We start from the raw sequence: 13,059 nt of genomic DNA on the forward strand, positions 1-13,059 counted from the left end.
TTTACTAAAGTTATATTAAGAACCAAAAATTTGGTTATGGAAATGAGAAAATGTTTATTTTCTTCATGTGGAATCCTTAATGCTTAATAATCACATTAATGCAACTATAAGATTTTTAACATTTACATTTTTTGCCAATTACAAAGCGCAAAGTTTAGGAATTATTTTTATTGAAATAGATGTAAGGACTCCATAGACAAAGATCTATAAAAATGTTTTCTTTTCTAAGCTTTTCATTTCCTGAGGAGAACACCAAGAAAACCAATCAGAATTAACATGAACTAACACAAGTTTTGCAAATATACATTGGTATAAGAGCACATTTTGCAATACTAGGTTCAAATTTCAACTTGTTAACAATGGTAAATTCTGCTTATTCCAACTCTCTTGTAGTTACACTTACACTCACACACACACACACACACACACTCTCTTCCTTATCCTCCTTTTCCTACTCTCCTCCTTCCTCTTCCTCCTCTCCTCCCTCCTGCTTTTGTCATTTTTGTCATTTTCTTGATAACTCAATAATTCAAAGTTCAGTTAGAGAATAATGGAGAAAAATAGGAGCAAATGTTTTAAAAAATAAGGCCTTTTTTCCGTTTTTTTTTTTTTTTTTTTTTTTTTTGGAGATGGAGTCTTGCTCTGTGGCCCAGGCTGGAGTGCAGTGGTGTGATCTTGGCTCACTGCAACCTCCGTCTCCTGGGTTCAAGCAATTCTCCAGTCTCAGCCTCCTGAGTAGCTGGGATTACAGGCATTCACCACCATGCCCTGCTAATTTTTTTGTATTTTTAATGGAGACATGGTTTCACCATGTTGGCCAGGCTGGTCTCAAACTCCTGACCTCAGTCTCCCAAAGTGCTGGGATTACAAACGTGAGCCACTGCGCCTGGCCTTTTTTTTTCAATGTTTTTCTTTAAGTCCAAATCTGTCTCACTGACAGAAATCACAATAAAATTTGGAATGGTACAAAACTTTCAGTTAGGAACTTTGACATATTTGTGGGCCTGAATTGTTTCAGTGCCCCCTTGGCATGTGTTCACAGTGGCACAGTATTTCTGGCTATTAGGTAAAGTATAAAATAATACTTTCTATAACCACTTAAAATTTTCTTATATCTTTATCAGTTTACTCAGGTATTTGGAGTCTCCCTGTTTAAAATACTATAAGTATTATTCAGTTTTTAAAAAAGAAAAAGGAAAAGAAAAAAACTAGTAGAACTTTCCTAAGACTTTATTATCCTGTGGGATAGATTGTTTCTGAAGTTAAATTCTCCTTCCTTGTTTCCCAACACCTCTAGTGGGATCTCTCTTAAAGGTGAGGTGACTAATCTTTTACCCTCGAAAAAAAATGATCATGTTAGTGAATGCTGACTCTGCCTTTCAGTTTCTTAGCCACAAATGTCATTTTGCTACGGTTTCTGAAGCCGTTGCTTTGACAGCTTCAAATTGTCTAGTACAGTGCACAGGAAGTTTTCTTGAATTATTGATAAATCTGCATAACTTGGGGAAGTAGAAAATGGCAACTCAGGAGAATTAACAGTTGTTCTAATTCTTTATTCAGGGATATGGCATTTTTACATGTGTTGCAGAGAAGGAAGATCTCATAACTAAGTAGCTCATTTTGTAGAAAGAGTACTTATTTATATATGGAGATACAAAGGACATTTGGATGGGAAATCTTATTCATCAATGTATGCCCTGGATACTCTGTACTTTACAGTGAGTGTTCAATAAATATTTATTGAACACTCACTATAAAGTACATTTGTTGAACAATATGGCTATCTCTCTCTATATATACATATATGCCTCTCTCTATATACAAATACTTATTGAACACTCACTATGAAGTACATTTGTTGAACAATATGGCTCTATCTATCCATATATATATATATATATATACATAGCTCTCTCTATATATAAATATATTGATAGAGAGCCATATTGCTTGTTTTCAATCTCAGCAGATCCCTAAAATTCAGTTTCAAGATATGATGTCAGCAAAAGGAATGTAGCTTGATCTAATGTTCAAGCTGTAAACTACCTCAACGTAGTAGTTAATAAGATGTCTGCAAAATATTGAGTATTACTGTAATTCTTTCAAATATTTAAAATATTCTTAAATATTCTTACATGAGGCTCTTTTGGCAATCTCATTCACAGTTTGAACAAATAATGTTACCAGCAATAATTAGAATACTGAAGTGTGTTAGTGTGTTTTCACACTGCTAGAAAGATACTACTTGAGACTGGGTAATTTATAAAGAGGTTTAATTGGCTCATAGTTCCACATGGCTGGGGAGGCCTCAGGAAACTTTCAATCATGGTGGAAGGTGAAGAGGAAGCAAGGACCTTCTTCACATGGAGGCAGGAAAGAGAAGAGTGAAAGTGCAGCAAAAACTGCCATTTATAAAATCATCATATCTCCTGAGAACTCCCTCACTATCGCAAGAACAGCATGGGGGGAGCCACCTCCATGATCCAATCGCCTCCCACCGAGTCCCTCCCTCCACATGTGAGAATTAAAATTCTAGATGAGATTTGGGTGGGGACACAGAGCCAAACCATATCATGAAGGTACCAACAATTTTCTTAATAGATGCATTCAGTTATATTTTAGAACAACATCAATCACTCATTGACTTTCTGATATGTGTTTTTGGAGCTGAAGGAAAAGCAATGGCTATAACAATTAAAGATATAGGAATTGAACATAACCAATGCTTATCTAATCTGTGCCCCAGCATCTGAAAATGACTATCATTCATATGTTTGGTAATTATGACTTAAGGCAATATTTTTATCACAGGCAAAATTTATATATGTGTACATTTCAATATCTGGATATACTATTACTCCCTTCCCCCATGTCACAAAGGTGAAGGTGGACATCATCCCCAGAAGGGAAAAAAAATCTGGTCAAGACGGTGATTTTGAACCTTTCTATGTATTACAACCACCTGGGAACTCATTAAAAATGTGGATTTCTGGAATCCTAGGACCAATCTCTGAAATTTTATAGTCTTGGAGTTTTGCAATGATAGTTTTAAAAAGCTTTTCAGATGAACTGATACAGACCATCTTTTGAGAAACATTGATACAAGGGACTACTTTTTTGCACAATGAAACAAGTAACAAGATAGATGAGTTTCTTTTATGTAGGTCTTATCAATGTGCTGTTTGGCATGTGTGTGTGCATACAGAAGGTTCACATGCATTCTTCCAATATCTAAAGATGATGTTATTAAGCCAATACCAGTTGTACAAGCACTTAGCATGATAGTGGTAGAATTTATGGTGGTTCAAAATCATATTATTGAATGTTTTGAATGTTCTTTATATATCTTATTTTTTGTTTTGTTTTTTTTTTTGAGATGGAGTCTCGCTCTGTTGCCCAGGCTGGAGTGCAGTGATGTGATCTCGGCTCACTGCAAGCTCCGCCTCCTGGGTTCATGCCATTCTCCTGCCTCAGCCTCCCAAGTAGCTGGGACTACAGGTGCCCACCACCACGCCTGGCTAATTTTTTGTATTTTTAGTAGAGACGGGGTTTCACCGTGTCAGCCAGGATGGTCTCGATCTCTGGACCTCGTGATCTGCCCACCTCAGCCTCCCAAAGTGTTGGAATTACAGGCGTGAACCACCGCACCCGGCCTATATATCTTATTCTTTATAACCCTCAGAGTACTTAGCTTTATGTCCCTTAACACTTTATATCACCTGGAGTACGTCATACAAAGTGTTAGCCATAAATAAGAACTCAATAAATATTAATTAGTAATGGTTCTTAACCTAGGTGGAACATCAAGATCGCCTGGAAAACATTGAAAAGCTATTAATGTCAAGGACACTCCCCAAACCAACAGAATCAGAATATCTGCAGATTGCGGTCTGGTACAGCCAGGGCTGAGAATCACTGAGCAATACCCTTTCCCTAGATCTCGAGTGTTACCAATTGCATACATTCCAAATCTATATGATTGGGTTTATGAGTGTATGTGTGTGTATGTGCACATGTGTTTGCGTGGGTTTTTTTTCCCCAAAATACACAATGACACATATATAAAACAGTATTTTTTTTCTTTTTCTTGGATGCATGAGGAAAGCTTTCTCCAATTTAGCCAAATATATATTTAAAGTAAAAATTTTGGTCCAGAAACCATGCCTTAGTTAACAGAATCTTAAAAGATCTTTCCTGAAATGCATACATTGTTTAAAATGAAATATACACCCTTCAATTTAGCATTTAAGAAATTAGAATTCATTTTCTTTTTCTTTTCTTTTTTTTTTTTTTTGAGATGGAGTCTTGCACTGTCACCCAGGCTGGAGTGCAGTGGCATGATCTCGGCTCACTGCAAGCTCCACCTCCCCGGTTCACGCCATTCTCCTGCCTCAGCCTCCCAAGTAGCTGGGACTACCAGCACCCGCCACCATGCCCGGCTAATTTTTTGTACTTTTAGTAGAGACGGGGTTTCATCGTGTTAGCCAGGATGGTCTCGACCTCCTGACCTCGTGATCCACCCGCCTCAGCCTCCCAAAGTCCTGGGATTACAGGGTGAGCCACCGGGCCCGGCCAGAATTCATTGTTCTAATAACTGACATAATAATTGAATGAGATGAGTTTACTGATGAAAATATGATGACGGATAAAAATAAATATTAAATTAAAAACACAATGAAATATCACTAGCAAAAATTCTGGGACTGGCATTCATTAAGCTAGCTTGAGTTACAATTGTTTGTTATTCCCATCTGTTCTGGGCACACCCACTAGAGTGGCCAAAAATAAAAAGACTGAAAATATCAACCATTGGTTTGGATGTGGAGCAACATTGCTGGTAAGAGACACAAAAGTGTACACATTGTAAAATCCAGAATACATAACACTAATTTATGGTGATAGAAACTACGTAGGATGAGGGAATTGGCTGGGAAGAAGCTTTCTAGGCTGATGAAATCTATATTTTGGTTAAACCAGTATACATGTTTGTCAAAAATAATCAGTTATAATCTGCACAAGTCTGTATAATATTTGTACCTTTTACTGTAAACAATCATATTTCAATATAGTACTCTTAGACATATTACATGAATCAAGTTCTAACTATTTTATAAAGTAAAAAAGTAATAATCTCCAAGATTTTAAGACTGGGGAAACCCCATACATCCATTTTCTCTTTTATAATCATATTGATTGGGCACTTTACATAATCTCATTTAATACTCTTAGAAATGATTTGTGTTAAATATCATTAAGCCTATTTTAGAGATGAGGAAACTAAGACTTGACAAATGTTCCAGGGGGCCATGAATTGGCTAGAAGGAGGAAGAAACGGAGCCCCTGATTTAACGGTCATGATATTTAGCAGCAGAGGTAGGCAGTAAATGTGATCCCTTGAGTACTCTCAGACAGGCTTAAAAACTTCAGGATATTTTTCTGCTTGGGTCTGCTGCCTAGGCCAGGTGTAAGATGTTGTAGGGCTGTAGGTTCCCTCTGAGGCTTTTGGATTTGGGGAGGGTTCAAGAAACCCTCATCTTGTTCTCACTAGGTCATATTATCAAAGGCTTAAGTCTTAGAACTGATTTTAAGTGTATGAAATTGCCTAAGTACTCCTGCAGAAGCAGCTTTTACATTTCGTCTGAATCTATCTGTTCCAATAGCACACTCACTCTGAAAGCAGAGACTTGCAAGAGGTGCTAAGTACACAGAAGGAACAAGTGGGACCGTCTACCATCTTATTTAAAATGACAAATTAAAATGGAAAACCAGTGTATTGACTTGTGTAACTGAGAAGTCTACTGGAGTCTGACTTCAGGCATGATAGAATCAAGGGTCAGGAATCTGTCTTCCTCCAACTTTCAGCTCTTCTTCCTGTGCATCATGTTGTTTTCAGGCAGGCTTCTCCAGTTCTATGGCCAAGAAGGCACTGAGGAGTTCTGGGGTTACAGTCTATTCTTTCTGGATGGTTCTAACAAAAGTCCTGAGGCCCACATTCATTGAGCTAGCTCAAATGACAATTATTTGTTATTCTCATCTATTTGGGGTATTTACTATTTTTCTCACTTCATCTTTTGGAAATGTGGAGGTACAGTTTGTCTCACTCCCCACTAGTTGCTATCACTTGGAAGACAGTCTGCTTGGCAATTATTATCATTTTGCTTTTTTCCCGTATACACTTTCTCATAATTAAGCTATGCAGCCACTTGGCAGTGAAAGGTGCTTTATTCATAATGACTAAATTACTAGATGTGCTTTATGAAGTGTTATTTTTTCATTAATGACTTTCCATTATTTCAGATTTTTAAAAATTTACTGAAACAATGAAATACAGCAAATATTGAGTTGTAAAGCATATAATTCTAAAGAGAACAGCTTGTACAAAAATAAGTAGATTCAATTTAGTGCCTTACTCACATAATCCTTATAGAAAATTTACTTACAATTTGCATTTGATACCCAGATTTTGATTAAAATGTTTGTTTCTCTTCAAGTGGATTCATTGTTATGTACCAGTGTATCATAGTTCATTGATTCTAGTTAATTGAACATAAAATGCTTTCTAACCTCACAGATGTGAAATGCTAAAAAAAGTTGCTTAGAAACGATGAAATGTTGTATTTGCAGATTCCACTGGATTTGTAATGCATGGGAATAACTCAATAAATATGTCTGGGGAAAGAAAGAAGGAAGGAGGAAGGGAAGGAGATTGTGGAGAGGGAGGAGTAGGAAGGGAGGAAAGTAAAAAAGAAGGCAGAAAAGAATAAACCATAGGCATAATTCTGAGGCTTTCTTGGTGGAAAATTTTTCCAACTTTTCTTTCCACGGATGGAAACTTTATTAGGTCAATAGCAATTTGGCTGCTCCCAAGTTAATGAAAATGAAGCCACTGAGTAGACATATGTGTATTTCCAGGCCTATGAACTCCTGCATGCTTTTCTTCCATGTGGATGGAAGGAAAAACAGATGTAGCTGCCTCTGGACTTCAGTGTAGGTGCTACACCATGCTGGTTCCTTTATACCCTTCAGATATTACTTTAAATGTCACTTCCTCAGAGAAGCATTCGTGGACTATCCTATCTACAGTATGTTCCTTCTTGTTATTTCCCCTTAGAGAAGCTTATCCTTTGTTCTCTTCAGACTGTCTACTTATCCCCATAGGGGGCTCATTAAGTAGGCTTAGAGTGTAACTCATTTCCAAAAGCATATATAATTTGACAGAGATATCAAAGATCAAAAAACATTTAAGAACCAAAGGAATTAAACCTATGTGCAAGTTTCAGATCGAAAAACAAACACATGCACTAACAGTTATTAACCTTAAAAATAGAAAACTCAAATTGTATCATTACTACATGATAGTAAATGAGAACAAAACTCTGTACCCAGGGCAACCAGTGAAGGAAACATGGAGGTCAACTTGACTTACCTACGTTTCCCTGGTGCTGTACTGCTACTAAGTTACATGTAAGATTATGTGATGCTAGCCCATCTTCTTACTTCTGGACAGGTTACTTTTAAACCAGGGCCAGAGAGATGAGCTGTATTCCTCTTAATATTTTATTAGAGAGGGTGAGAGCCTACCCTGCAAATTTAGGAACTCTTTATTAGACTAAATTCGAAGCCATATCTTTTGTAAATTTTTCATGTTTCACTTTAAGACACTTTATTAAACTGTCTTTACTGATGAAGGAGAGGGCTGAGTCTATTAGTACAAAAGTTTGTTCTCTTGCTATCACAGGACATTATATCTGGGAAAACACCCATGTAGTTTGTGATAGTGGGTACTTCTGTTCTCAACTTCAGTTCCACCATCTTTTCCTTTGCATCAGTTACAATCTGTCATCCTAGGTAAAACCTAGCTGGAAAACACTCCTGAAATTCTACCCCAAAGCTGCACTGCCTTTAGAACTAATTCATGAGGTATTGCCTTATCATAGTGTGAACATCTGTACATATAGCAACTGATTATCTCAATATGTGTTAAGAAACAAATGGGGTTATTGGCAGTTATTTTTGTATAGTTTATGTAAACATAATTTTAAAGAATCACGAACAAAAAAATACATAGACTAACCATAAAAGGAATTAAAATACTAGGTACTGAAAGTATAGAAGTAGATTCTAGCCCTCAGGGGCTAAACAATCAGCAGCAAAGATTCAGATGATATGATTATTCTGACTTAATATAATCTCTCTACATATTTATATTTCAAGACAGCATGATAACCTCCCTAATCATGTATTAATAATAAAGGTTTGGTTATGTAGCAACTATAGGCATGTATTTTTTTGAAAAAATTATACAGGAAATTAAAATTAACTGATATGACTTAGTTCATTTTCATGTTTTTTCCAGTCATCTCTATTTACATTATATTTTCAAACATCCTATTGTAAAATAGTGAAACATACCTGACTATAATCTTAGATAGGAGTCATAGGATGTAGACCTGATAAAATATTAATTTCATTTAATTTAGAACATAAAGAAGTAATATTTTTGTTATTTACTTGTCTTCAGAAAAAAGTTATTTTTTACCTCTCAATTTGAACAAGGAGAGGACAAATAAAAACGGAGGCTTAAACAGTTGCATATTTTGGTTGCTCAAATGGTACGTTATATTTATATATATATATACACATATATATAAAGTATTTTAGAAACATATATAAACACCTTTACAATAATTTAAAGGTTCTACAGATTAAACATATTTTACATAATAGGTAATAATTATGTAGTAATAAATAATACTGATTGGCAAACATAACAATATTGTCCAATTAGGATTGTTTGCAGTTTCCATGAAGTGGCATTCTACTGTTTGCCTTCTACCCCTTGAAAGAACAGATTATCCCATAAGCCTATAGATAAATATTGCCTGGCCTTCTCCAGAGCTTGAAGGCCTTATGAATTTAAAGGTTCTTGCCCTTACTTTTAAGGAAGAGGTAGCACTTCATGAAGTTTGTAATCGTATCTCTTACTTTCCCCCACAGGTTATCAAGCTTTGGAAATGACACTGTGTTAATTCTGGAAAATGTTGTTCCAGGTGCTCCTTCCTTTACACAATGCTAACATTTGCATGGAAAAGCTGGATGAGTGATTAAATAATTAAAATATCTCTATAATTTGAATCTTATCTAATGGTGAATTCCATGGCAGAATTATGGAGAATGTCTAGGCTGTTTATGATTAACGAGATTTGTTGTTATAGTGTAGAGCCTGCTTTCAGTATGTGTTTGGATTCGAAGTGGCATGATTCCAAATCTGGTTTTACTCACATCCTTCCTGCATTTTCAAATAGACTGAACATTAACACTGCAAGTGAATTGCTGAAGAAATAATTACTGAGGTATTTTAAAGCACACTTCTGCCATTAAGTGGAACTGAAAAAAAAAATGGAAGAGATATATGTTTTAAGCAATACAGGCTTAAGTATGAACAAAGAGGGTTCAAAAGATGAAAGCAGTACTAATGCAACTTTTCACTTTTTGTATTTTTTGGGATATACTTTTGGCTCTGTAGCCAAAGGATAGCCTCTCGATTTAACTATTAGGAAATACTAAAAGTAAACAGAAATACTTATAATCTTCCATTTTCTTTCCTATTAAGAAATAGACAATTGTTTCTAATGCTCAGACCTGAGTGGATCTGCTGCAACCCAAGACTGAACTGAGGAGCACAAAAGAGGGTATGTCAGAAGAGAGAGACAGAGAGAGAGAGAGACAGAGAGATGATACAGGACTCTGAAATCTTTACATTTAGCTTTGTGAAATCACAAGATTTTTGTAACATCTCTTCCAGGTAGACACATGCACACATACCAAATATTCCAAAGAAACCTATAATTTAAAAAATTATCTTTGGGATTTGATTATTGTATCACCACAGCTCTCTGTTAGCATAGATAATTGAGGGGTGCTTGTGAACACTCGTGACTGAAAATGCCACCATTGTTGAGGAAATTAGGTTCTGCGAAATGGCTTCATGGTTTGGCTCCACATTAAGGATGAGGTGTACAAGAATGAAAAGGGAAATAATTTCTGAATATATTTTCTTCATTGCTGTGACTTATTACTTACTGCATATTGGCCCTTTGGCTTTTATACTATAAAAAAACATAAGTTCGGTTATATTCTGCTGACCAAAGGAAATCATGACATAAACTGCTAGTTGTACTGTTTCTTTCCTGTTTTGCAACCAATATAAAATACTACATTTCTCTACATTAAAAATATACATAGTGAATTTAAATGCTTCCTCAGTTTAATAACCACTATAAAAATAGCCAGGAAAAGCCACTGGTGGTAATGCCACTATTTTTAACCATGAACTGTATTCTCAAAATACCATAACTAGATAATTGGGACATAGGAGAGTTGTCTTTCTGTGATTTTGAATTCTAGGGGTTTGATGTGAGAATGAAATTTAGGCCGATTTTATTGTTTTAATGGGAAGTTCATCTGCATGATCTATTAACAATGAAATGCAAGAGGCCATTAAAGGTGAAAAAGTAACTTCCTACTATTTTTCATGGGTGTTTTCAAAGTAAGATAAAGATTTATTTTCTGACTTTGTATAGTGACCACAGCCAGGGCCAGAGAAAAGTGATCTCCCTTGAGTTGCTTGCAGTCTGCACTCTGACTTCCTCCTCTTGGCCCAGTTGAGTCCAGACATTTCAACAGCTTGACTAAGCCTCATCACCAGTTAGCTGCCAAATTCAGTGGCTGCCAATACCACTAGTAGCTTTTTAAATACACCTGTTGCCAGCACTATGTTTGAGTCAAGAAGGCTAGACCTTTCTGGTCTACCCCAGTGGCTAAGCTCTCTTTCAAAGGAGAATTATTTTTAGTATTACTTCATCATTTTTCCTTAAGAAAATGTTTTTCTAGCAAGCTTCTCTCCTTACAGAGAAATTGCATTTACACTGATCCCAGTACATAACATCTCGTCTGGGTTAGCCTAGGGAGAAAGAGTAGTTTCAATAATTGATATTACCTGTGGGGCCAGCAAGATATATGAATAACAAAACATAAAAACTTGGTGTAACTGAGAGGTTTCAAGTGTAATAATCAAAAACCACTTACAGCAAAGTTAATCTGATAGTTAATGGTATGTATTGCGTGGTAATTAGGTATAAACACTAAGTACTTCATATAAAGGACTATAATTAATGTGTTTCATGAAGCCAAACAAGCATTTTTGGAGCAAGCTTGGTGGGGAGATGAATAGAAAAGCAGTTAAAGCTAGATTCTGTTCTAAAGATCCTGGACCACAGATCCTCTTTGGCCAGGTTTTTCTGCGTTTCCATTAGCATTTGCTCACAGCCAGGAGGCCAGTGGCCAGGAACAACTTTCCCTATCCACCACAAAGCTGATAAAAAGCTAAAGAGAAAAAGTGTGGTGGATTCAGTTCTGACAACCTTCCAATCTTTGAAACACTGTATGACTATTTAGCTGTAGCTTAGCAGTACTTTAAGGTGAAGAAATAGGACATATCAGAGTATTTCAATACTTTGGGCACTATATAGCCACTGATAAGGATTCTTCCTCAACAGTCTTTTCAGCTAGTAGGACTTCATGAGCTCATTTTGATCCATTTGACTATGAGTCAGTGTTCTCAAGGTGTATGTGTTTTGCTTTTACCAATGGAATATTTGGTCATAGATAAATCTGTAGTTTATTAAAAAACAAAAAACACCAAACTGGCTGGGCACAGTGGCTCACACCACTTTGGGAGGCTGAGGTGGGCAGACCATTCGAGTTCATGAGTTCGAGGCCAGCCTGGCCAACATGGTGAAACCCTGTCTGCACTAAAAATACAAACATTAGCCAGGTGTGGCGGCACATGCCTGTAATCCCAGCTACTCAAGAGGTTGAGGCAGGAGAATCACTTGAACCTGGGAGGTGGAAGTTGCAGTGAGCTGAGATCACGCCACTGCACTCCAGCCTGGGTGACAGAGCGAGAGGCTGTCTCCAAAAAAACAAAAAACAAAAAACAAAAAAAAAACCCAAAACAAACAGAAAAAAACCTTACACATACGTCTGGTCTGAGGTTGACATGTCTTTACCCTAAGGATATCTGGTTATTTTTTTCCTGCAATGTGTGCCTGTGTATGACGCCAGTGACACTGTTTCTATTGACTGACAGATTTGATTTGGTGTGACCTGATAAAATGATCTGGTTCAAATGCCAATTTCATTGGCTTTGTTCTTGCCTCCTTTCTTACCTGACATTCAATACATCAGCAAATCTTGTTTGCTCTTAGAAATGGAATCTCACCATTTTTACCACCTGCACTCTGGTCTGTCATCAATGTATTTTACCTGGATCATTACAATAGTCTTCTAACATCTAGTTGCTCTTAGGCTCAATCTGTTCTCCACAGTGCAGCTCTTCTCTCCCAACCCAAATCAGATTTGGTCACTCCTCCAATGGCTCTCCTTTTCATTCAGAATAAATTTTAAAGGTTACAAGATTCTACAACTATACCCTTCTTGTACCCTACTCCCTCTTCTGATTTAGTCAGCTGCTTTCCCACCGCTCACTGAATTCTAGCCTACACTGACCTCCTGCCTATTTCTCAAACATGCCAAGCCCACTTCCACTTAGGGTCTTTGCATTTGCTGATCCTTCTGTGTAAAATATTCTAACCCTGGGTAGCCAAATGGCTAATTTCTCACTTCCTTAGTTCTCTGCTCAAATGTCAGAGAGGCATTCCCAGACAAACATATTTAAAATAGCATCCTCCCTCCCCATGTCTCCCTACCCTGCTTTATTTTTCTATGACTCACCATCTGGCATAGTAGGTATTTATTGGCTTTTTTTTTTTTTTGGCCTTTCCGACTACAATATAAGCTCTATGACAGCAGGCACTGTATATCTCGGTGAGCTGTTGTATCCTCATTCCTTAGAACATTGCCTAGCCCATTTATGAATATTTGTTGAGCCACATGAATCAAGGCCTCCTTTTGAGATCGTGAACGTTTTCATTTATTTATTTATTTTTTTGAGACGGATTTTCGCTCTTTCACCCACGCTGGAGTGAAGTAACGCGA

This window comes from Homo sapiens, chromosome 1 (genome assembly GCF_000001405.40).
Source record: "Homo sapiens chromosome 1, GRCh38.p14 Primary Assembly".
Taxonomy (NCBI): domain Eukaryota; kingdom Metazoa; phylum Chordata; class Mammalia; order Primates; family Hominidae; genus Homo; species Homo sapiens.